At 42.6% G+C, this 26,963-nt stretch overlaps 1 protein-coding gene across 2 annotated transcripts in view, besides 1 other annotated feature; it reads left to right on the top strand.

The window, feature by feature from the left end:
- Window positions 11,374–11,874: an enhancer, noted in NCBI's record as "H3K4me1 hESC enhancer chr16:77468627-77469127 (GRCh37/hg19 assembly coordinates)". NCBI's record gives its function as "activates a minimal SCP1, AML or CMV promoter by ChIP-STARR-seq in naive H9 embryonic stem cells {active_cell/tissue: H9 hESC(naive)}" and the evidence as "EXISTENCE:reporter gene assay evidence [ECO:0000049][PMID:30033119]".
- Window positions 11,570–26,963, top strand: part of ADAMTS18 (ADAM metallopeptidase with thrombospondin type 1 motif 18) — a 152,907-nt gene continuing 137,513 nt past the window's right edge. For both annotated transcript variants that reach the window (NM_199355.4, NM_001326358.2), the window contains exons 1-3: window positions 11,570–11,998; window positions 12,099–12,186; window positions 14,993–15,309. In NM_199355.4, the coding sequence (NP_955387.1) occupies window positions 11,909–11,998; window positions 12,099–12,186; window positions 14,993–15,309 (495 nt within the window). In that variant the 5' untranslated portion in view covers window positions 11,570–11,908. The remainder of the gene's footprint in view (window positions 11,999–12,098; window positions 12,187–14,992; window positions 15,310–26,963) is intronic.

The raw sequence follows: 26,963 nt of genomic DNA, 5'->3' as shown, positions 1-26,963 counted from the left end.
TTTTTTTTCCTTCGTAAATTTTCTCCTCCCGCTGGCATGTCTTGATTTCTGCTTCCTTTAACTCCTTTTCCCTAGAATTTAAGCATATACATGCCATTTTGGGTCAGGCTTGTGACTGGCAACGGGGATAGCCCATGTGAACTGTGAAGGTACTTTTTTCATGTAATTCTGACTATTAGGGATGACTTCCAAACCCATTTCCACTGAGGTGTTTTCTGGTCAAGCCTTCAGGGATGGCTATACAGACATCTGTTGGCAGTTTCCTGGAGTACAAGGGGCTTCTCTTCCTACATTAGAGCACCTAGAAACCTGAAATGACTGCTGGCATGACTGGGGGTGGTTCACACCCACTGGTCCAATGCCTCAGGCTACCCAATAAAGAACGGGGAGATGAACCTAGCATGTGTTTCTAGAATACAACAGACTCAGATCTAGTTTCATATTCTACCATTGCCTCTTATCCAAATTATGTCAGCTGGTAATTACTTCTTTGCACATTAGACAGTCTTGCTTTCATTTTCCAGATTAGAAAACTAATTTGATGCTTATTTTCCTTAAATGGTAATGTAAAATTTGGCCCCATTCCAGGGAAGCAATCAATGAATGAGAGTATGTTTAATCGTTATCACTACTCTTCATTTCTAAACCGAACTAGGGTCTCTCTCCCCTACTATGGAACTTTCTGAGATATAGTCATGCCTTGTCTTGCTTCTATTTTCCTGGTTCTACATTATCAATGAAAGTTAAGATACCCTTCATATGTAAAGCTGAATTCTAAATTGTAGTGCTTGTGAAAAGATAAGGCCTTCCAAATGTAACATTTAGCAGGTGGAATCACCAGGTCTGTGAGTGATAGCATGCATAAAATTTTAATTAGAATAAAAAGCATTTAGGCAACAGGTATTTATCGGGCACCTAACATTTGCAAGGTATAAGACAAATCATACCTGGACTCCAAAACCATGCTCTTTTGACTTCACTGTTCTGTGTCTACACATGGATGAGGAATACAGATGAAAAAAGAATCTGACAGACTTAGGTCATCATCCTGGCTCTGCCTCCTTGCTCTGTGACCTCAGCCAGTGATCTCACCTATCAGTGAGCCCCAGTTTCCTTATCTATTAAAGTGGATGAGTAATAACCCCCTTACGGTGTTGGTGGAGGATTGAAGGATTGGGGACCCTATGGAACATGAGTCCCCATTTCCTTTCCCCATTATATGGTGCAGATGTTGCTACTGCTTATCATAGCTTAGTAGCCCCATGACAAAGGGACATCCAAATTTTTGCTAAGTGCATTACGTTACACTCCTTTAATGGATTATGTCCCAGCCATTAATGATAATTGTTCAGGGAATCTTAACATCTGCAACATATTCCATATATAGTACTAGTCAAGGTAGAACACAAAAGTATACACAATGCATTCTCAACTATGTAAAACAGTGTTTACAGAAGGAAGATATACCACATCATGTTCACTCTGGTTATTTCTGAGGGGTGGATGAATGGCTGCGGAGTTACTTTTTTTTTTTTTTAAGAGACAGAGGCTGGGTGCGGTGGCTCACTCCTATAATCCCAGCACTTTAGGAGGCCGAGGTGGGCAGATCACCTGAGGTCGGGAGTTCCAGACCAGCCTGACCAACATGGAGAAATCCTGTCTCTACTAAAAATACAAAATTAGCTGGGCATGGTGGTGCATGCCTCTAATCCTAGCTACTCGGGAGACTGAGGCAGGAGAATTGCTTGAACCCGAGAGATGGAGGTTGCACTGAGCCAAGATTGCGCCATTGCACTCCATCCTGGGCAACAAGAGTGAAACTCCATTTCAATTTAAAAAAAGAGACAGGGTCTCACTATGCTGCCCAGGCTGGTCTCAAACTCCTGGGCTCAAGGGATCCTCCTGCCTTGGCCTCCCACAGTGGTAGGATTACAGGCATGAGCCACAGCACCTGAGCCATTCTTAGTCTCTCATTATACTTTTCTGTGTTTTTCAATGTTTTCAGGAAGAGCTTGTATTGATTTTGTCATAAAAAGCAAATACTTATTACTATTTTAAGTGAAGAAATATCTAAAATCCTTCCATATTAAGCCTACTAGTCGATTCTATAGTGTATGTGACAATTTATTTGTTTTTTAGGGGTGGAGAAGGGGAAAGTTGCTTTTGTTTCCTCTTTATTCTGTTTTTGTCTTCTTTATGTGCTTTTAAACAAAATAAACATTTCATAATTAAAGCAGTATGCTCAAAGCTGTGTGTTTGTGAGAGATCTTTCATTTACTATACAGTTAACTCACTGGGCAAAGCAATATTTAGGCAATTCTGAAGTGTTTCTTTATGTTATAGAGGGTAAGGGGGAGGGAGGCATTTCAATTGTAATGATTTTCCTCTATGTCATTTAGCAATTTTCCAGGACTATTTCATTATGGCCGTGCTGGGCCATTTGAGGTACCTGCTCTCTAATCAGCCCTGGCTGACTTCCAGTCAGCCTGGGCGGAAACTCACTAGGCACAGGGTTTAATTGGGGCCACCCACCACGGAAGCGCTTCTCCCCTTTGTCCAGAGAGATGGAAGCTCTTAATGTAGTACACATAAAAACATCCAATAGTGCAGAGCAGGCACAAGCAGGCTCTGATGTCCCAAGGCTGCTGTTATGTCCCAGTTCAATGTTAGCTTTTCAGACTTTTCCAAAGGGCTCCTCTCCTCTCAGGGACAATGTAAAATGCGAGACACTCCATCCAATCACAGGGGACGGTGGGACCCTGCAGAAAGAGAGCAATATAAAGTACTAGGTTGCTCTCTGGACACAACCCTTATGTTTGCAACCTCTCTAAATAGATCCCAGACTGCTTTAAAAATAAGACACATGTCCCTCCCCACTCCATCTCTTCTACTATTCTCCCTCTGGCACCTTGGATTCCTTAAATTAATTCCTTGTAAAAGCCAGTTGAGTTCCAATAATTAGTTTTAAATGATCTGCCTCTTGAAATTGTGCCTTGCAGTCTTGTGGAAACACCAGTCTCACGCGTGGTGGGGGCCAAGTCACTATGCAGCTCTTGGAAACAAATTGCCTGTGTAATAGGGTGCAGCTTCACACGGCACTCTCAGCAGGATGGTGACTGCGTAACTGGGTAGACAGGGTGTCCAGAGGCCAGATCGTGGTGGGTGTTTTGGGTGATGCAGAAAGTCAAGGGAGTTGCAACCTGTTTGTGTGCTTATAATGGGAAATGTTTAATTTGGATGTGAATGCAGCATCTGCAAGCCTCCTATTAGCTGTGCTTCGTGGGATCCCATAGCCAGCATCCTAGGAGTAAACAGTGTACTTGCTCTGCTCCACCCCCACCACATCGGGCGGAGGGATAAAGGAGACAGAGAGAATGGTAACAAGGCTACTACTTAACAAATGCTTAATGTGGCATTTCACCTGATGATCATGATCCCCACATCCATGTGAGACAGCACTATTATTTTCACCATCATGTAGAGAGGGAAACTGAAGGTTACTGAGGGCAGGGGACTCTCCGAGTGCATCCTGTTACTGTCAAGTTTCTGTGTGACTCTACAACAGCATTTCTCAGACATTAATGTGTGCACACACTCACCTGGGGGTCTGGCTCCAATGCAGGAAGCAGTAGGTCACCTGAGACTTTGCATATCTAATGTGCTCCCAGGTGACGCTGCTGTTGATGGTCTGGGGACTACATGCTGATCACAGAGAGGCTAGATGATGGTTGGTTCTCATCTGGCTGGCTCTTATATTCACCTGGAGCCAGAGGGCTTTAAAAAGAATTCCAATGTGCATTCAGACCCATTAACTCAGTATCTCCGGGGGCAGGACTTGCTCAATGAGCACCAAGGTTGAGAAGATCTGCTAAGGTGGGGAATTGTATGGCTAAATAGGTGAGGGCAAGTCTCAAGGCACTTAGACTTATTTGAACAACAACAATAATGTACAGTTTAGTTTAAAAGGGAAGGAGAAAAAGAAACCACTGTGTATTGGAGAGTGAGAGATGGAATGAAAATGAGGAAAAAACTGGGGAATGAGGGAAGGAATAAAAACAAATAAAATCTCTGGACATAGTTGATAGGCAGGTATGGAACCTGCTTGGTCATGGAAGTTCTCCCTTATGGGGTGCAGGAATAGTAGTAAGATTCCATAGTTGGTGTTGGCTTAAGGGGTGGTTCAAAGTGCCTGTTTCAACAGCCTGGATTGTTTTCCTTCTGCGCAATGAGGTTTCAATTTAACATATTATCAAGCATGTATGTGCTAGCCCTTAGTATTAGAAACAAAGATGGCAATGACATCTCCCTGCTCTAAACAGCTGACACAGCAGCATTAGTTGGGTTGGTGGTCACGGCCTCTATTGTACTGTCTCATTTTTATGACAGAGACCATAGGGGAATGGTGGGTTATTATGGGGACACTTGGAGGTGTGCTTAATCCAGCCTAGCTCAGCCAGGGTGGTCAGGGAAGTCTGCCTGGATGAGACAATTCCTTTTTTGAGTCTTTAAGGGTGGCAGATGCTAATGGTCAGAAATAAGGTAATTGCAACGAGTATGGAGAGGAACAGAGTCATTGAGAAAGCATGATTAGGTGACTCCTTACACCCCCCATATCCTAGGATGACTCCCAAGCTTCCCAGTTTGGGATTCTGGGCATATGGACAATAGCCGATGACCTATGCTTGGTGCCTTATCAAGTTTAAGGTGCCTCCGAATTCATTTAGTTAAAAATGCTCTGTAAGTGGTAGGGAATAAGTGTCTAGAGCTTGGCACAGAAATTTAGGCTGAAATAATAGACCTGGGACTCATCAGCAGATCAGATGGGCCCTGATTGCTCAGGAAAAGAGGAGATTACCTTGTGAGAAAAAATGAAGGATAAGGACCAAAGTCTGAAGCCCAATATTTAAGAGACAAAAAGGTCAAAAAAAATTTATCAGTAAAAATTAAAAAAAAGAGGCGTGGGGGGAACTCAGAAAAACAGGACAAAGTAATGACCTGGAAGCTATGGAGGTAAGAGGGTTTCAAAAAACAGGCAGTGGTCATTAGTTTCAAATGCTACAATGATTTAAAGATTAGCATGGGTTCTCTTTCTCTAGCATTTTTAATGGTTCTCTCTGAGTGAAAGGAGAAAGGTCTACATCTCTCTATTTCTATTCATTTATTCATAAACTTTATTGCACTTTTATTTAGAAGAACATGTGACTGGGGACAGAAGCCAGATTGCAGGTTGTTGAGAATGAATGTTAATTGACAAAGGATATAATGTACTTATCTTCACCTTCACAGCCAAGCCTTTTGAAAGAGCCCCCGGAGACAGTGTGAGTACATGGAAAGGATGCATGTAAATGGAAGAAAAAAGCAGAATTGGTAGCTTAGAAATTGTAATGCAGTTCATAGAAGTAGGTGGACTGAATCTTTGCTCCTATTTAGTTCCCCAATCTAAGATGAGAAAAGGCCTGGCTGGGTGCTGTAGCTCATGCCTGTAATCCTAGCACTTTGGGAGGCTGAGACGAGCATATTGTCTGAGCTCAGAAGTTCGAGACCAGCCTGGGCAACATGGTGAAACCTGGTCTCTACTAAAATACAAAAAATCAGCTGGGTTTGGTGGCGGGTGCCTGTAATCCCAGCTACTCAGGAGGCTGAGGCATGAGAATTGCTTGAACCTGGGAGGCAGAGGTTGCAGTGAGCTGAGATGGTGCCACTGCACTCCAACCTGGGTGACAAAGTGAAACTGTCTCAAAAAAAAAAAAAAAAAAGAAAAGAAAAGGGCTAAGGAGATGGCAACCCATGCTGGGCATGATGAATGGCTGTATCCTGCCTTGAGGTGAGCTAAAATGAAATCCAGTAGGTCTTAGGCTTCTTCATTCTGTCCCCACAAGACTTTATTAGCCCAGAGGGCTGCTCTTTTCCTAATTTTCATAGCTTCCAACTTTTGGTCACGTTTTTTGTGCCTATGCAATAGGGAACATCATTTTCTAATGCTCACCCAGTCACTGTTTCTGGGAATTGCAATTCTGAAATCAAATGGGCAATATCAGGGCTCAGACTGAAGTATTCACCTCTACACAAGAGTTCACAGCCTTAGGAAGGGATTGGCTACAGGAATAAGAATCAAAGGAAAGTTAAGAAAGAGGAAGAACACTACCATTCATTGAGCAGTAGTGGTTGAGGATTTGCATTAGACACTTTACGTATGTTGCCTTATTCAATCCTCATGAAAATAAATAGATGTGAGGTAGGCATTGCTCCCCTGTGTTAGAGATGGCCATGCTAAGACTTCATGTTTAACATCACATAGTAAAAGTACTGACAACTTTCAATGAAAGAAATAGAAATGCAACAGACTAATATAAAGGGGGAAATAGGGTTGGAGAAAGATTTCTTGGCTTAACTGGTGGTGATTTCAAGGATCAAAGGAGAAGAGACAGAAATATTGGCCTCAGACTGGAACTTGTGTATTTTCCTTTCTTTTCTACTTTTATCTGTATTTTCTTTTTGCAGCTCAGGAGGACAGCCAACAACTCCAGGTTTAAATCCCTTTATTCTTTCTGCTATATTTTGCTTCCTCCACGAATAAGAAATGAGTCAAAAGCATCCAAAAGCTTTAAGTCCTATTGACTAGGAGGTGTTGCTGGCATTCAAGTGCAAGTACTGTGGGTCATAATTCTTGGTTTGTGATAATATTTAGTTACATCAGAAATCCTGACCCACTTAATGGAAATACTTATAGGGATGCCCAAGAATGTGTATTTCTAACCATGTTCTGGGTGTTCTTGATTAGCAGTAGTACCCAATCCTTGCTGTTCCAGGACAAAGGCTTAGTGGGGCCAAGATGGTGTTAGAGATGAGAGTTTGAGAATCGTTGGGGCAGACATCTGAGCTTGTTCATGATGGGCTCATGATAGTGGAAAAGAAGGAGAAAATACTCCATGTAAACAAAAGTTATTTGCCTTTCTTAGGCAGCCTGATATTTTCCAGAGCTTTTACAAAGAATATATACCACTGTTCACTGTGCAGAGAGGTCAGAACTTGGCCTCCAGTTCACTTGTGGAAATTAGAAGTCTAGTTCTAATTCTACCTCTTCAGCCTCTGGCAAGCATGCTACTTTTAATAGTAGGGCTTGGGAAACGACTAAAAATAGACCAAAGAAAGCAAGCCCATGCAGCCAGAGTACAAAGAAACAGAGAAAATGAGATGAGCAGAGAAAACCTTATCAGATAGATAAGTCAGACAAGCACAGGTTTTAAAGGGAAGAAATGGATACCAACGTCCTCAGAAAGTTAAGCAGAAGAATAAATAGCAGGTGAAGGAGAGCAGTTGGTAATTGCTAAATTGTGTGTGATGATGGATCTATTTATAAAACTATTTAAACTAAGGGGTTCTGCTTCCTGTATTGTTGCTAATAAGTAAACAGAAGTTTGTTTCCTGTCACTCGTTTGAATTTCATTCTTTGTGTGGCAAAATAAACTCTTTATCTTTCTGGATGGTTATCTCTGGAGGGAAAACAGTTAGGACCTGCTGCTCTGTTCTCTTTCACCTCCTCTCTCTCCTCCCCATTGTTTTTGAGGTCTGGGTTGCTAACTGGACTGCATTTCTGAGACATTGACCAGAAAGTAGCCCTTAGGTCTTAGGCCTTCAAGGAGGTAAATCCATTTCCATCTCTCTCTTTTCCTTTTGGCTACTGTGTTGAAATAAGTTAAGCCTTGTGTTCTATTTTACCCTCTTCTAGGTTTAGATGTGTGACTATGGACATCTATCTCTTTGGACATCAAAATGTTTTCTACAGGAAAGTACTGGACACCCGTTCAGTAAGACCCAGCCCACTGTTTGATGCAGCTTTGAGCAGCTAGAGGAGGAAGAGTTTCCCTCTACTCGCTGACGGAAAAGGAGAGGAGCAAATAAGGAGTTAGTCAGTCATAGCACAGAAAGTCAACTGCACCGGAAGAGGCAGTAAGTGTTTCTTACTTTCCATGGAAGGGATGTTTGCATCTTCATGAATCCAGGGACAAAGGAAAGTGAGTAAGCAACGTGGTTTGCCATTTATTTTTTGATCTGTCTAGGAGGAGGCAAGTATCTTAATGTTATTTGGCAAAAAAAATAAAAATAAAAATAAAAATAAAAAAATAAAAAAGCTTATGTCAGTAGAAAAAGAAAATCAATGCCTAGAACTGTACCATTGATTTTAAAGGAAGAGAAAGGAGGAATATTTTTCGTGGTTAAGAGTGAAACACTGTGATCTCTCTATCTCAAATTTCCCCCCATTCCTCCCTCCCTCCCTCCCTCCCTCTGCTCCTCTTACAAACATTTATGAATGTCTGTTACGTGGCATATTCTGGGCTACGTCTGACAGAATACAACACATCAGCGATGAGCTCTGCCCCCCCATATCCCCATTAGTTTATTGCAAACTTCAGATAGCCATTGTAGTGTCCTAGATTTATCATTTTAAAATCAGGTAAGACTGACATTCCCAAGTAACTTAAAAGCTACTTTGCAGTTTATAACTCCAAGACTGGAGCATGGGCTCATGATTCTCTGTCACCATCTAGAGACAATTTATACATATTGCAGGGCCAGTTCCTGGAAAACTACGTATAAAATCATCCCAGAAGTTATGGCTTTGCAAGTATTTATCAGCCCTAAAAAAGAGACTAGACATCTACAAATGAATGGAACTGCAAGTTTTTATCTTCCAGGTCTAGAACTATGCAAGAAATGAGTCTCAGTTTCTGTGCCCAATCATGGAGGACTTGAATCTGTGGAGAGCAAAGATTGACTGGGGTATGGAAGAAGAGCTGTAAAATCAGTTAAGGATAAACTACTTACATTAGGTTCAAGAGGAGCCCTCTAGACTCTCAAAAAAAAATGGGCACTCAACAAAAAAATGTCACAGAATAGGACTGGGAATCTGTACTATTTATCCAGGTTCTCACCTAGGGGAATTTTACCCACCAGGAAACATTTGGAAATCTCACAACATTTTGTTGCATTTTGGGGGCTGCTACTGGCATTTAGTGAAGTAGAGGCCAGAAATGCTGCTAAACATCCTATGTTTATAATGTACAGGATGATAGCCCCTACCACAAATGATTATCCAGCCCAAATCTCAGTACTGCTGAGATTGAGAAATTCCACAATTGAGCATAGAGCATAGTTAAGGGTTGTTCTCCGAGACTTCAGCCCTGACCATGGCAAGTAACCTATATTGTTAGCCCTAAAAGAGGAGGATCAGAAAAATATGGACAATTTCATGCAAATGTATCTTAATGGAGAGACACAAATCAGGGCCATGGTTATTTTTAGCTGAGTGTGGACAAGCCCTTCACCCTCCAGGTTCCGTCAGTGTTCACCTGATGATGTCGCTGACAGTGCTGTCAATCCCAGTCTCCTGTTTTATTCAGTCCGTTGCTTGGTGATGTGACCTCCAGCAGTGTTTTACTGCATGTCTTTGATGTCCAGTTTCCTCTTGTGTCCAGTTCTTCATGGAATCATATGAAGCACTTAAGTCACTTGTGTCTGAATCACCCACAAGTGCTTACTACAAATGCATGCTTGGGCCCTACACCAAATCCATGGAATCAGAATCACAGTGCTTCATGGCCTGGAAATCTGCATTTTTAAGCTAGCATTACAGGTGATTTTGACGTATATTCAAGTTTGACACAGGATGTATGAAATAACAGAAATACACCATCACTTCTTAAAGTCCACTTATAATGTGCTTTGAAAAATATATTCACTTACCCCTCAGGCTATCCTTTTGATGTAGCATGTTGATTCCTATTTTACAGATTATAAAACAGAGGCCACAGAGCTTAACCAGATTAAGTAGGGAAACCCAAATGATTTGTTTAGCCCTGATGTTCTGTGAGGCTTAGCTTCATGTTCCTTAGGCAGACACATCACCTTCTCTGCCGCTACAGCCTGGGTTTACCTCTTCCCAGCTGCATTCCATAAAACCGACTATGTGTATTGAGCTATCACTTAATCGAGGCTTGACATAGACCTCATGTTAACTACTTCAGTACCCACAGGACTGAGCAGAGTAATACATCTACTTCCACTACCACTACCCTGGTCCAAGCAAGACACTGTCATTGTACCCCTTCATGCCAGCAACAGCTGCGTGGTTTGTTTCTCTCTGACCCTGCCTCAGCTCGTCCAATCCCTACACTCGCTCAAAAAATGGTTCACATTTTTTTATTATTGGATATGATGTTGCCTCCTACACATACACAAACCCACATTCATTTAAATCTAATGGTTTCCAACATGCTTCGCCCCAGCTTACAAGGTCCAGCTGACCCAGCAACTGCTGTGTTTGCTTCTTCCTCTGGCCTGTAACACTTTTCACGTGGCAATCACTTAACTACCTTGAGACCTTCACTTATGCTGTGCCCCCTGTCCTAACATGCAAGATCCTACTCCCCTCTTCCCTTATAAAACCGATCCACTCTCTCTGGCCTTATTTTAAGTGTCAGCTCCTAACAGATGCCTTGCACGTGTATGTATGCGTGTGTGTGTGTATATATATGTGTGTGTGTATATATACACCCACACACACACACACACACACACACACACACACACATCTTATCCCATCTAAATTAGATTCTGCTGCCATCTAATTTAGGAGACTATTCTTTTCCTTTTTAGTATTTGTGTTCATTTTGCTTCTATTACCGTTGTCGAGCTATCCAATCAGATTCGTTTCCACTGGCCCGTGAGACTGTATTTTGTTCACCTCTGCAAACAGGGATCAAAGGATCAAATAAATGTCTTGAGTAAACGAACAGGCACACAGCAAACTGGATGCACATTCCTAGTGATGGCGTGCGCTGTTTGTTATAACTGATTTCTGTGGGTTTGGGTATCTGGGGCCAAGATTCAATCTCGAAGAGTGGGAAGCACGGTCACGTCAAGAAGAGAGAGAGAGATCCGGGAGAAGAGGGAGGCCCCCGCGTGCCATGAGTTTTTACATGCTGCAGACAGTGACAGCTCATTGTTCTGGTCCTCCCGGCTGCCTCAGATTTGCTGACTCTGGGAAGCTAGGTCAGCTTGTGCGCATCTGAGCCTCCTTTTCCTCATCTTTATCAAGGAATTAATAATTCCCACCTGAAAAAGGTAGGGCCTGAGGCAAATGCGATACAGCAGGGGATAGCTCCCAGCACTTAGGAGGTGTTGAGGACGCTATCTTGACTCTTTGCCAGAAGAGTTGAAAATGAGAAGTCTGCACAGGCAGCGAAAAAGTCGCGCCACTCACCTGAGCCTTTCGTCTTCCGAACTCATCTCCCAGTGCGCTTAAATTACGTTTTCCAAGCCTGACCCTGGGCGCTCCCCTCCTTCTCATGGCGGTCGGTCCCTCCCTCCCTATCACTCCCACCCAGCCTCCCCGCCCCCTTCGCCCCCTCCCTCAGAGCTGGAGCCGGGAATCCCACGCCCTTGCACCAGCCCGGGGGCTCGGACGAGCCCGGGAGCCGCTGGTCGCCAATCACCGCGCGGTGGAGAGGCGGGCGCTCGGCTCCGGCGCGCTGGGGGAGCCAGCTGGCGCTGTCTTCCCCATCGCCTCAGACGCTCACACCGACACAGACAGACGCACAGACGGGCGGGCAGACACCGACAGTCTCCCAACCGTTTGCGCTCCAGTCCCGGCCCAGGGAGCCCCCCGTACCCTCTGGGGTGCCGCAAACTGCAGCTCGGCAGGCCCGCGCCGGGAGAAGGGAGGGCGCGCAGGCGGCCGGAGGAGGGGAGGTCCCAGCGCGCCCCCGCTGCGATGTGAACGGCGGCGGCTCTCACCTGGAGCCGCACCTGGGGCGCCGAGCTCCGGGGCCGCGGAAAGAATGCGCGCCGCCCGTGCGCTCCGCCTGCCGCGTCTGGCCACCCGCAGCCGCCGCGTCCGCACCTGACCATGGAGTGCGCCCTCCTGCTCGCGTGTGCCTTCCCGGCTGCGGGTTCGGGCCCGCCGAGGGGCCTGGCGGGACTGGGGCGCGTGGCCAAGGCAGGTGCCGCCGAGCGGAGCTCCGAGAGCGGGTGGCAGGGGGCGCCCGACGCCAGCCCCGCCGCGCCCCTCACGCGCGATGTCACCTTTTCTCTTGCAGGCGCTCCAGCTGTGCTGCCTCTGCTGTGCGTCGGTCGCCGCGGCCTTAGCCAGTGACAGCAGCAGCGGCGCCAGCGGATTAAATGATGGTTCGTATTTGCCCCCCATCCCCAAGAAGGGCCTTTCGCAGCACTTTGACCCTTCCTTCCCCCAAAGAGAGAAAAGATGGAAAAGCGCACCCCCTAACCTGGCAGGTGTGCGCTGTCTTGGAAATGGTTCCTGTTTGGAGAGGGGGGAAGGTTGGCAAGGACTGAACTTATCAAAAGAATCAACGCCCCGAGCTGCAAGTCACATAAAAGCAAATACTCTCCCTCCTTCACAGGTGGCTTGTTAAGAAGAACAAGAAAAAAAAAAAAATCCTAACTGCAGTGAGAAATTCGAAGGGAAGTGGACATTAACTAAGGAATTACTTATTTCCTCCCTCTCCTAACTCTTGTTGGGGGAAGCTAATTCTTAGTGGGAGATGAAAGAATGTGAGCCTCTTTCCTCTCTCCATCTTTCCTCATTTTTCTCTCGACTTCTGTTCCTTTTCTATCTCTTCTTTTTTTTTCATTTCTGCTTCCCTTGTTTTACGGATGTCTAAGGCTGCTTTTAGAGAGAGGAAAGCAGGTGACTTCAGGTCTCTGAGTCCTTTATCTATCTTTTCTGACGTTCGCCAGCCACAAACTTCCAGAAAATCCCTCACTTCTGACATTTATTAACTTCCCAGTGGAGCCCAGAGGGAAATCCTTGTTTTGATTGTTTCCCATCAGCTACAGGAGAACAGCTGATTCCTGACGCAAGGTGTCTAGGAAAACCTTACAGCTCAACCTGGATTCTTTAGAATTCTGTAATTTTTAGTTTTGCAAGGTTATCTCCTTTTCTTGTCAGGGGAATGGGGAGTGGGGCAGGATGGAGTCATGGAGAAGGGATTCACCTTTTGTCCAAACAGAGAGGCTGCAGTTTCTAAAACCACCCCTCATTCTTATATCAGGATCAGATGGCTGGAGGCCACGTCCGACCCAGCCACAACCTTGTAAGGACCTCACCCTTACTCACCTCCTGAAGTGGTCAATCAGAGATCACTCTTTACAGGGGACACTGACTGCCCTTCTTCCATCAAGAACCGAATGTAACCGACAGCCTGTTATTCTCCCCTTGGAAACAAGCTGGTAGCAGGTGTCTGGGGCCGTTTGATGGCTGGTTCCATAGAAGGCTGGCTGGATAACGTTCCTACAGAGCCTTCCAAGTAAGAGCAGGCAGAGTTTCAGATGATTTGGGACAAGAAGGTGAGACACAGACTTCCTGCATATGTCAGGAATCTTTTTCATAGTTAAGTTTTAGTTTGACAGAAGGAGAAGGTAGACTTTCTCTAAGAAATTGCACATAATCAAGAGCCACATCCCTTTAAAGCAATGTATCAGATTTTTAAGAGAAGAAAAATATTGTATGTCTGGCTCAGATTTTCAAGGTTAAGAGAGGGGAAAAACTTTTCCCCCCATTATTGTAAAATATGTATGTCAATTATACAGCATTTTTAGTTAAAGGAGGGAGTCAAGAAGAAAAATGGGAGTGGGAGGACATAAAGAATATAAAAATGAAAGCTGCCCAAGGAATAAGTCACAGATGGTTCATAAACAGAAGAAAATTATTGTCTATTGTGGAGAATTCTTTTTTAATGTGAGCCTAATTAGGCCATCACTCATTGATCTTTGCTAGCTACAGGGGCTCCACTATTCCTTAGTTTTTTTTTTTTTATTGGAGGAGGGGGAAGGTTGTTGACTGTTTAGGGAAAAGAGAAATTTCTCTTCCTTTTCCTCCTCCAGTAACTGGGGACCCAAGTGACTCAAACATACCTCGTCATTATTCAACAGCTTTCTAAACACTTTCCAAAGTAGTTTCCCATTCTGTGCCTTGAAAGTGGAAATGCAGGCTGTTTTTTAATGCACAGAGGGCATATTCCAAATCATTTTGTGGGATGATGCTTTTCAGCTTCAATGTTTGGTGAAAGAAAACAGTGTGCTGGCTTTGCTTTTCAAATAGCAAATTGTATTTTAGCTCCTCCTCTTTGGAACATTCAGCAATTAGTACTGCTCTAGGGAGCAGTGGTGAAGGTATTTTTAAACATGCCTTTCCAGGTGTCCCCTGATCTGACACTCCCCCACCAACATGCCTGAGCAATTTTATACATCAGACTATATAGGAGGGTTCTGACAATTTTGAGGCATTTTTGTGCATGCACTGTATTTTATGCTTACAATTAAATGGGATCATCCCTGTGAAAGCTCACAGTAAAATGCTAAGGGTGATACAAGTGCTGGAGTTTTCTTATCACACATAAATAATATTGGAAAAATGAAAATGCTGTTGCTTGTTAATGATCTGAAATATCATCTGAGGCTACCCCACACTGTGAGTTAGGACTTGAAATGTAAACTCTGCCTCTGCCAAAATGTTCCCGATTCAGTTTAAGCACAGAGAAATTAACCTCCTTGAAGAAATTTCCCGATTTTGTAGTTTTATGTTTATTAACTTTATCTTCAAAAAAATTAAATTTTATATATATGAATGGTTCTGTGGCCAATATTATAAAAGGCCCAGACCATTAAACATCAAAAGAATGTTCTAAATCTCTCTCCAGACAATGAGAGGTGTTACATTTTTCCACAGACATCCATGAAATTCATCAAAATTGTGCTTGGCTTTCGGGCACCTGTAGAAATGACTGTGGCCGAGTTAGTTGTAGAGACAGGTCTTCTGCTGCCTGTGCTGCTCTGAATTATATTTGATCTAGGTGCAAGGCAATAGGAACAAAGATATCTTTGAGCTTTGTGTTGCTCTTTGCCAGCTTGCTGGAAAGAGACCATTTGGAATTGTGGGCTCTGGGTGCTGACAGCTGAACTTTTCCCATTGCAGATTACGTCTTTGTCACGCCAGTAGAAGTAGACTCAGCCGGGTCATATATTTCACACGACATTTTGCACAACGGCAGGAAAAAGCGATCGGCGCAGAATGCCAGAAGCTCCCTGCACTACCGATTTTCAGCATTTGGACAGGAACTGCACTTAGAACTTAAGCCCTCGGCGATTTTGAGCAGTCACTTTATTGTCCAGGTACTTGGAAAAGATGGTGCTTCAGAGACTCAGAAACCCGAGGTGCAGCAATGCTTCTATCAGGGATTTATCAGAAATGACAGCTCCTCCTCTGTCGCTGTGTCTACGTGTGCTGGCTTGGTAAGTACACCCCAGTCTGAGTTGAGCTCCCTCTTTCGTGTTTTGTGTAACTTGAATGAACAGATGTCTGCAATATAAATGCTCTTCCAGCCAACTCCACACATTCACACTGTCAGCCTTGATACTTCTAATATTCTCAATTGAATTAATCTAATGTGCTCCCAGAAAAAGAAAATATAATAGAACTTTAATTACCATTTAGAACAATCTTTTGATGTTTAATGGTCTGGGACTTTTCATTCTCCATGTTTGAGATGATCCCCAAGGAAATTAACTTGATGGATGCCATTCGCTTTGTAATGTCCCGGGAGACCAGGCATTCTATAAATCTAACAAGCTTCATGCGTCTACATGGCTTTGAAATGGGAAAACTGTATTTCAATGCGAAATTGCATTCAGCAGCACTGGTAAGATCAACCTTCACTTTGCTGAAGGGAGGCCTTTTGTCTTCTTTGAACTAATCTGTTGCTGGTGTCCTGCTCACATAAGACATCCTTTTAGAATGTGGGGTGCTGTGTTCCTGGGCTGGCAGGATTAAATGTGGCATTCAGGGAAGCAGAACCTTTTAAAAGCATTTGGGACCAGTGTTATTTCCTCCCTATGTAATCCTCATCTGCTGAGCACCAGGCCAAGAATATCAGTGTAAATGATACTCTTCTCAGGATTCAATCAAATATACGAGGCGGTAAATGTTGTTCTGGGTTGATTTCATTCTGTGTTGTGATTGAGAAGTGTCTTGAATTGACAGAAGAGTTTGTGTGTGTTGAGACACATGGTGATTGTGCTCTGGCATGGCCAGAAGAAGGAAAATGTGAGAAAGCCCAAGTGAGGATGTAGTGAGTAATGTACATGGTACATCATGGCACAAAGCAAGAGGGGTGGCTTGGGTACGGGTGAATGCGGACTCCCATGTTCTTTGTTAGTTGAAACTTTCAGTTACTTTTTAATTTTTTCCCCCTATTATGGCCTGAAATTTAGCTAAAACCTTTCATTACAACCACAATCACGGTATTCTTTCTTTGGTCTATTTAAAATGATGAACATGGCTCACCATTGACCTATATATTATAACATGGTTACATGCCCCTGTGTGTGCACACATGACTATATCTTGTTTTTTTGTTTGTTTGTTTGTTTGTTTGTTTTGTTGTGGCACATCTCCTTCTCTTTACTTAGCATCCCCTTTGTATTTCTCTTTCTTCTGTCTATTCCGGTGTCCTAAAGGAGGAGTTTACACAACCCACCGTAGTGGCTTAAACTATCCCATTCCACATACCAGTAGTTGAAAGCAGTCTGCCCAGGTTCTAATTCTCAGACCAGCATTTACTCATAGGACCTTAGACAAATTGTTTAACTCTGTGTTAAGTAGAGTTAACTATGCCTTAGTTTCTTTATTTCTAAGATGGGAATAACAAGAGTTTACATCACAGGGCAGTGGGGATTCAATTATTTCTTATGTGGAAAGTGCCATAGCAGTTCCTGGCAGGGAATAATTTCTCTATAGCTGTTCTATTTTCAGCAAAATTTAGCCTCCTCATGTTTAGCACTCTCAGGACTTCACTCTGTGAGTGATGGGAAATCTTATCAATTGTCTCAAATTAATAATCTCATAGTAATAGATTAATATTATCAAAATTTCACATGAGTAGAATCATAAAATTTTTCTGTATGAAGATTTCATGATGTTTTTATCCATTTTTTTTTAAAACTTTTAGGTTCAGGGGTACAAGTGAAGGTTTGTCACGTGGGTGAACTCATGTCACAAGGGTTTGTTGTACAGATTATTTCATCACCCAGATATTAAGCCCAGTACCCAATGGTTATCTTTTCTGTTCCTCTATCTTCTCCGACCCTCCACCCCCAAGTAGACCTCAGTGTCTATTGTTCCCTTCTTTGTGTTCATGAGTTCTCATCATTTAGCTCCCACTTATAAGTGAGAACGTGGGATTTGAATTTCTCCTCCTGCGTTAGTTTGCTAATGATAATAGCCTTGCTCTCCATCCACGTTCCTGCAAAAGACCTGATCTCGTTTATTTTTATGGTTGCATAGTATTCCATGGTGTATATGTACCACATTTTCTTCATCCACTCTGTCATTGATGGGCATTTAGGTTGATTCCATGTCCTTGCTATGGTGAATAGTGCAGCAATAAACATTCACATGCATGTGTCTTTATGGTAGAATGGTTTATGTTCTTCTCATACCTAGTACTGGGACTGCTAGGTTGAATGGTATTTCTGCTTTTAGCTCTTTGAAAAATTGCCATACTGCTTTCCACAATGGTTGAACTAATTTACACCCCCACCAGCAGTTTGGGGCTGTTATGACTGAACATTCTTGTATATGCATTTTGATGAACGTATGGACACATTCTGTTGGATACATGCCTAAGAATAAAGTTGTTGAGTCACAGAGTATGTATAAATTGAGTTATTCCTTATCTGAAATGTTTGGGACCAGAAGTGTTGTGGATTTTCAATTTGGGGAGGATTTTGGAATATTTGCAGAATATATTCTGGTTGAGCATCTCTAATGCAAAAAATCTGAAATGCTCCAATAAGGATTTTCTTTGAGTGTCATATCAGTACTCAAAAGTTTCAGATTTTGGAGCATTTCAGATTTCAAATTTTTGGATTAGGGGTACTCAACTTGTATATGTTCAGCTTTAATGAGTACTGACAAGCAGCTTTTCAAAGTGGTTGTACTAATTTAAACTCTCATCACCAGTGTATGAGAGTTCCAGTTGCTCCAAATCCTCCTGAAGACTTGATATTGCCTATTTTTCCATTTTAGCTGTTCTGATTGATAGTTGTGAAGTAGTACCACATTATGGGTGTAGTTTGCATTGTTCTGATGGTTAATGAAATTGAAAGCACTTTTTTGTTTACATTTTCTTAGACATTGCTCAGCTTCTTTGGTTAATCAGGGGTTCATAACTCCTCTGAAATTAATTAGCATCTATAGTAATAGATTCAGAATCATAGATGATTCAAGAGTTCAGAAAAGGAACAAGCCTTTAACAGGCTTGTTGGAGAGACTCATCGAGTTAACATGCCAGGAGAGACAGCCACCCTTCTCCTATTAATACAGAGACCGAGAAGAGATGAATGAGACTGGGAGATGAAACTTTTTCACCTGAAGTTTATATATCAGTGTTTCTCTGAGTGGGGCCAGACCACTGGCCTTAGGGTCCTTTTGGATGTGGTAGCAATTTTCTAGTGTGCATGCAGTGTATATTAGGAAAGCGATGTCACCTTTAAATGATTTGACAAAGTACTAATAGGAATCTACCATTATCTTGTCTGCTAGAGAAGTCCCCAAAGAAAGTGGAAAATGGTAGAATGGTTATAATAGTGAATACGTATGTACGTACATACATATAAGCAGACATGCGTGCATACATACTCCAGCTAAAATTTTGCTAGCAGACTGTTAGCCTTAATAATTCAGAATTAACCTGTTTGAAATATTTGTAATAATTTCTTAAAATGCACCCACCTCCCCTGCCAACTCACAGGTCTCCCTTTATTCCAGAATTGAGGTAGTTGTTACTTACTTGGAATAATTCATTCATGAAACAGGGGTTGCACACTTCCCTGAGTAAAAACTGCCTACTGTTATGTTTAGAGATGATTGTTTTAAAATTTTGAATGCTTTTATAGGGTAACCTAGAAAAGCTCACCCCTGTTTTTTATACCAGGTGGCCTTATAATCTGTGAAGGTGCTAGGATTTGCAGCCTTTGTCCCAGAATCTCAGAGGTACAGATTAACCTAATCTAATGGTGATCTGCCATGTCTGTCCTTTCTACTATATCCAGCCTCCCTCTGACTAGCACAGTGATGAGAAAGTCATTACATCCAGCAAGCCATGACATTGGTGGAGACTCTTCATCTTGCTGTTGAACCACAGTCTTAAAATTTTTACCTGTATTTCTTAATTTTGTCTTCCAACAGAACAAACTTGCATGTTTCTTCCTATGTACTAAGAGATCTAAAAATTTTACTGCTCAAAAATCATCTGTCTTAGTGATCCTTTTTGTCAGGACAGTGATTATCAGAGTGTGAACAACTATGATTAGCTTCACTTGAAGGGCTGAAAATGTGAATTCCTTTGTCTACAACAGAAGCTCAGGGAGGCTGGACACAGGAAGGTGTATTTTTAATTCTCCAGATGATTCTGATGCATACGAATATCTGAGAACCACTTAGTGAAAATGCTTGTATTTTTGGAACTTGTTAGACACATTGACTCATCATTTTTTATTGTTCTTATATTTTTAGAGACAGGGTCTTACTCTGTCATCTGGGCTTGAGTACAGTGGTATAATCATGGCTCACTGGAGCCTCAACTTCCCAGGCTTAAGCAATACTCCCAACTCAGCCCCCCAAGTAGCTGGGACTACAGGCACGTACCACCACACCAGGCCAATTTTTGTAGAGGCGAGGTTTTGCCATGTTGCCCAGGCTGGCCTCAAATTTCTGGGCTCAAGCAATCTTCCTGCCTCAGCCTCCCAAAGTGCTGGGATTACCAGGCTTGAGCCACCACACCCCACCCTATCCTTTTTTCATTGGACAACTATTAGCCTCTAGTGTGTCAGGCACTGTTGAGAGCATGGTAGATGAAGCTTACCAACAAGATGCATGTTAGATCCAGGTCGTAGAGCTTACAATCTAGGGAAGAGAATGGAGCAATACTTTTAGACCTGGCAACTGCTATTTTTATTGTGAACCAAGCTGTGATTCAACCCTGAAACAAGGAGTTTACACAGTATGGTTTTAGAAAAGTGGGGAGCTGGTGAAGTTATTGCCAAAATGCAACCTCTCTGAGCTGTACAATGCATATTAGCATATTGACAAGTCAGAAATGTCTTATATTAAAGACACCTGTTTAACTCTGTTTATACCTATAGTTTCCCTAACTTCTTTGGCCAATGAAATTTTTTTTTTCCAAGGAGCATCTCTTCACAGTTTGGTGGTGACATGAAAAACATCAACACAATGGTACCCAAAATAGATACTATAATATTATGTATTAATTTTTAACTGTTAAGAGATGCTCCAGGAATAAGTGGTTTATGGTCATACAAGTTAGGGAAAATTTAGAGGTTTAAAGGAAGCTAAACAAACATCTTTAACATATTTCATACCTTTTAATACACTAATATGCATTGTGAAGTGCCAAGAGGTAGGATTTCCATACTAATTTGACCACTCCTCCCCACCAACTCCCCGTTTCTGTTTGTTTGTTTGTTTGATGTGGAGTCTCGCTGTGTTGCCCAGGCTGGAGTGCAGCGATCTCGGCCCACTGCAACCTCTGTCTCCCAGATTCAAGCAATTCTCCTGCCTCAGCCTCCCAAGCAGCTGGGATTACAGGCATCCACCACCACGCCTGGCTAATTTTTTTGTTATTTTTAGTAGAGATGGGGTTTCATCATTTTGGCCAGGCTGGTGTTGAACTCCTCACCTCAGGTGATCTGCCTACCTCAGCCTCCCAAAGTGCCAGAATTACAGGTGTGAGCCACCGTGCCCGGCCCACTCCTCCTCTTTTTGAACCACACTTCCATCAACATCTTGTACCAGGGTTCTGCGGTTCACGCTAAAAGAGCAATTCCTAAGTCTGAGATTATTTGTACTTTACTTGTACCTGGACATGTGTTCCCGTTGGGGAAATGCACCCCTTGCTTAAGAAATTCTAAACCAAGCTCCATTCTTCATGTGAAGATTGATTGAAAAGACATGCAAAAAGTGTCAGTCATATTGCATTTCTGCCCAGCTTTGTAATACATGGGTGAGTTTACCACTGATGAATAACTTCAGTGAAGGCCCAGCTGGCAAGAGTAGTGGACTGCTTTGCTGTTTCTCTTGGATCTTCTGCCCGGTGTCTGATTACCATCCAGCCTTAGCACTGCATCTGATGCTCTGAGTGGAGTATGTACCGTGATCAAGGCTGCCATGAGAACTCCCTCCAGCCTCAATTCCTGATGCATCATCCAATTTTGTCACTCGGTTTCCCCTCGTTTCTCTTTTCTTTGTCCCCAACAATTAAACCGTAAGTGGCGTTTCTCCCCCATGGCTGGCTGCACTAATGTCCCCATTGTATCTTTGTTTTACTGGTGGCCTTTTTTAGACTATGACTGCAGTGACCCATTCTCCAGAGAGCCTGGGTTCTTGCAGAACTTTGGAAACAATTGGATTTCAATAGGCGGTAGGGACGCTTTGATCTCCCCCTTTCAAAAGTATTTTATGACTCAGAAAGCTCAGTCATTGAGTTGTCTGTTGCTGGTCACTGCCTGCCAAACAGTCTTTACAAAGCTGATTTCCATTCATAAAAGGGCTGAAGTTGAATGACCTTCGTCCATGGCGGGCAGAAAGAAACTAGGCTCAGCTGCTTTGGAGGGCCTTGTTAGCTAGTAGGGGTTTGTTGAATTACATACACCCCCTTGGAGCTTTTCGGTCACTTGAGAGGATCATGTGAAGTTAAGGATTAGACTGGGTTGTATTTATGTGTTTTGTGAGACAGACAAACTGAAATCAGTGATGTTTTCTTAGGCTATTACTCATTTCATCAAGAAAGGTTAAAAAGGTTTTTTTTTGTTATTTTGTTCTGGCTTCTCTCCTCTTCAGACATGATTTGTGAAGAGAATTATTTGCTCATAACAAACTTGAAGCAAAATGCCAGATCAAACTTCTTTTTAAAAAGAAGAGCCAAGGTTCTTGCCAGAGAGCAGGACCCCAAGGTGACTAAGGCCAGTTTGAGGGGTCTCACATGGGAGGCTGAAAGGCCAGTCCTTCCTGCCTATGTTGCTTGCTTTTTTTTTTTTTTTTGAGATGGAGTTTCACTCTTGTTGCCCAGGCTGGAGTGCAATGGCATGATCTTGGCTCACTGCAACCTCTGCCTCACGGGTTCGAGCAATTCTCCTGCCTCAGCTTCCTGAGTAGCTAGGATTACAGGCATGCACTGCCATGTCCGGCTAATTTTGTATTTTTAGTTGAAATGGGGTTTCTCCATGTTGGTCAGGCTGGTCTTGAACTCCCAACCTTAGGTGATCTGACTGCCTTGGCCTCCCAAAGTGCTGGGATTACAGGCGTGAGCCACCGCGCCCGGCCTGCCTGCCTGCCTTTTCGGGTATGACCACTAAGGCATCAGGCTCCCCAAGTCCTGTGTTGTAAGTACTGGGCTTCCTTCATGTCTCTGGGCCTTGGTTTTCTCATCTGTAAAGTGGGAACAGTACCTCTTTTTCTCTCATAAGATTGTGAAGATTTATGATTGCTTAGCTTGGTGTTTGGTGGAAGCTCCATGCTTGATTAGTCTTGACTTTGAACTAGGAGAAGGTCTGGGAAGGAAATGGCCATTGAAGTCACCCACAACACACACATATTCTCTCTCTCTCTTTACCAGCTACCATCCCTGTCTTGCCTTAAGGCCTTTTAAAGTTCAACCCTGTCAGAACAGGAAATGAACACTTTGATACTGGCAATTCTGCTTGCGGGAATGTTTGGAGATCTTGTGGGAGTGGAAAGTAACCATTACTTTATAAACTGAAGACATAAAATGAGAGAAAAAGAATCAAAGAGGAGTATCAACAGATAGATAATGATTTGCATCAATTCATGTATGATGAAGCAGCATAGTGTAATGTCTTTGGACTGAGACTCTGAAGTTCCATCTCTTGTCTTTGCTAGCTACGTAACACAGGGAAAACTCTTTATCCTGGCTATGCTTTATTTCTTCATTGATAAGTCGAGGATAATGATAGTACTTCTCTCATGGGGGCTATGGATGCTTAATTGAAAGAAAAATATTCTATGTGCATAGTTAGAATGATATTATTACTATATCATTATCAAAACCGATGTCATTACCTGGCACATAGTAATAATATCAGTTGTGATAATGATATAGTACTAATTATCATTATTGCAGACCTTCCTCTGCAGAGGACTTTTCAAAATTGACTGCTGACAGTTCTTACAATCCACAGGCAGAAAAGAGTTTCAGCCTAGATAAAAACATAACAGTTAATATTTATTAACTACTCTGGCTATTAACACTGGAGCCATTGAGAAGAGATTCAGCTAAAACACACAGGGAGGCCTTTAGAACATTTAACTGCAAGCTGGCGTTATAAGTAGTTAACGTCTGAGGTGTAGGATATTTTTTAGTAAGGCACTTCAAAAGGACCTGAGCACTTGAAAAGAAAAATATGTGTGGGTCCCACCTCTGAACATTCAGTAGGTCCTGGGTAGAGCCTAGGGATTCAAGTTTAATAAAGGAAAGAAAAGCTTCACCTATGGGGGACTCAGAGTCATTGTCCTCAAGGTGTCTGAACAGGACCTTCAGTGGAAACGAGACTGCCTGAACCTCTCTGGGAGAGTTGTTTTTGCTTTGTGGAATGCATCACACCATGTAAGTGTGACTGTCAATGCACAGACTAGCATTACCTGGTAGGTATTCTAAGGAGGGAAGTGGGGTGGCTAGTGTGAATCAAAATGTAGAGATTGTTCTTGTTTATATATTGTAAGACTTTCAGTAGTAAGTAGAAAACTTCATCTCAGGCTATGTTAAGCATAAAAAAATATGCATTTTTTTGGCTCTGGAATAATCTTCCTAATTCATCCTTTCCTTCCTCTATCCCTCCCTCCTTTCTTCTTTCCTTTCTTCCCTTCTTCCTCCTTTTTTCTCTCCTTTCTTCTTTTCCTTCCTCCCTACCTCCTTCCTTTCTTTCTCCCTCCCTTCCTTCCTCTTTTTTTTTCACTCTCCTCTCTTCCCTCCCTCCCCATCTCCCTGCATCTCTTCCTTCCTCCCTTGTACTAGGATTGGCTAGCTTTCAACAAGGCTAGATCCAAGCTATCCAATGATGTCACCACTGTTGTCTTTCTCTTGGCTCTTCTTGCTTCTGCTTGGCTTCCTTCTGCATGTGTGGCCACCTGAGATGAAGATTTCAACACTTCCTTGGGTACCTGGCATCTGCGGTGACTTATTCAGCAATAACTCCACAGGTGGACCCTATATAATACCTGAGAAGAAGTATGTGGGGCTGAGAGCTTTATATGGTCTCTCACCTGTCTGCGGGCCTCAGTGGACCACATTAAATTTGTCTCTGTATCCAAACAAGACTAAACCATATTTTTATTTATGGATTGGTCTGTGAATTAATGCACAGAAGCAGGTCTGGAACGATGCATAGCAAACTGAGGGCTGCATAGTTTTTGGCTGGACACTCTTCATGAAACCAGAGCTTATTATTTCTGGAAGTTGTGTGTGTGGTTAAAACATACATAAATTGCATTAGCCAAACATCTTGTTTGGTGGGGGAAGAGGGATTAATTAAAAACAATGTATATTTTGGAGGTTTTTTTGCATAGATCTATTTTTTGTATAGATCTATCTTATTCTTTTAATTACTGCATATTTATTTTCTTCTGATTAATGTTTATTTCCAGGATTTTTTTGTGATGCTGCTGAAAAATAACATGGAGATATATGACACTTCTTAGTTGCATGCAATTGTATATTTTATGAGGAGGGTAGGGAGAGAGAGACCTACTTTGTGAAAAGCTGACATGTCAAATACATATGGGACATCAGCTATAGCCAGATATGGCTTACCAACAGTGATATTAGCCACCCAGTATCACCATCATTAATACCTGGCTTGTATAACATGCAAAGTTACTGAGAACTCATTTCATCCTTGTTTTCCATGAGCCTAGGGCAGTGCCTTAGAAAGTTCTCTCCAGAAGACCCTAAATGTGGGTGAAATTGCGTGGTTTCCCACCATCAGCAATAAACAGTTTAAGAGAAAGTGGTACTGATAAATATCTGAAGTCTAAATATAAACAGGCCTAATGATAGCACTAAGGCTTTCATGACCAAAAACATTTGCTTGGACTTTGTACACGTCTCTGTGAACAAACCCAGGAGTTCCTCTTCAGTCACATCAAGTTTTTCCCATGAAAGCCCGTTCCCACGGTTTTCTATCCAATTACAGGGCAAAATACACTCAAATACCATAATGCAAGTCTGGTGAGAGTGTTCTGTCTGGACAGCAAGCTCACCTCTCCTGAAGGGATGCTTTTGATGTATCTAAGGATTTCGTTTTCAGCTGAATTCCTTTGATTGCTTTTTCATGCTGCTGAGCTTGGGAATATTTTATCTGCCCCTTATTACCACTACAAGTCAAGGGGGCATGCTTTCTAATATAAATTATGTAGTGCACATCACTAATTTACTACAAGTCAGCTATGTGCACACCCTTATTTGAGAGACGGCACTTGAAAGGGATTGAGATAAGCTGGTAAAAGGAGATTATCTTTCTGCTGATTTACCGAGTTCTGCTATAACAGAGTACTTTTTAGTGTCTATGGGTTCACCCTGTGATTTTACAATTCCTCATCTCCTTTTTCTATTTAACTTTGCCTCTTCTAGGAGGTAAATGAAGTGTTACTCAAAATTAATTTTCTGTGGGTAAATACTGCATGCAGTCTTTTCTTCCCCCTGCCTTAATTATTGAGTCTACGTGTTTTATGCTGTGAAGAGACATAATGGGAAAAAAATATTACCACAATATACTTTCACTCTTTAAATATGCTAATGAATATCTCTACATCTTGTCACAGGGTTTTCCTTTTGTCATTGTTTTCCAGTAAAATGCATTGAAGTAGGATGAATTCCGTCCTTGTAAAAAGTTTCTTTTGTGTGTGAAACAACAAATGTCTGTTTAGTATTACATATTTAACCTCGGTGTGTATGACTAGCACATAAGTCTAGAACAGTGATTCTTAGTGCACGGAGCTTTAAAAAACACAGACGCTTATGCTCAGGTCTCACCCCAGAACAATTAGAGCAGAATGTCTGAGGATGGGGCCCAAACATCTGTGTTATTTTAAAGACTCCCCAGGGTAGTCCTAATGCACAGTTGAGTTTGAGAAACCCTGGGCTAGGTAAATGTTACGGGCTTTAGAGATGCAATCATCTTAGACATGGTGGTGTCACAGCTTAACATGGCAGGATGGTATGTTCAAATGCTAGTTATTTGATCTTGGAGAAATGACTTTTTGAAGACATATTATTTTGAAATAATTAGACTTACTAGTTGCAGCATGTATGCAGAGAGTTTCCACATACCCTTCACCCACCTTTGGGAAATTATCAAATTGTCTGAGAATCTAGTTTGCTCGTCTGTAAAGTGGAGATGGAAGAAAAAAAGGCTTCGAAGGGGTGTTGTGAGAATTGAGATAATGTGTCTAAAATGTAGGAGGTCGATGTCTTTTTTTTTTTTTTTTTTTTTAATCTGCGACAGAGTCTCACACTGTTGCCCGGGCTGGAGTGCAGTGGCGTGATGCGGTTTACTGCAACCTCCGCCTCCTGGGTTCAAGCAATTCTCCTGCCTCGGCCTCCCAAGTAGCTGGGATTACAGGCGCCACTACCATACCCAGCTAATTTTTTCTATTTTTAGTAGAGACGGGGTTTCACCATGTTGGCCAGGCTGGTCTCGAACTCCTGACCTCATGATTCACCTGCCTGTCAAAGTGCTGGGATTACAGGCATGAGTCACCGCACCTGGCGAGGTCAGCTTCTAAGACAGCCCCCAAAATTGCTGGCTCCCAGTGTACCGACACTTTCTCCAAGTATTCAGTCTATTTCTGGGAA

Source organism: Homo sapiens, chromosome 16, assembly GCF_000001405.40.
Source record: "Homo sapiens chromosome 16, GRCh38.p14 Primary Assembly".
Lineage (NCBI taxonomy): Eukaryota > Metazoa > Chordata > Mammalia > Primates > Hominidae > Homo > Homo sapiens.
This window is presented reverse-complemented; position numbering and strand designations above follow the sequence as displayed.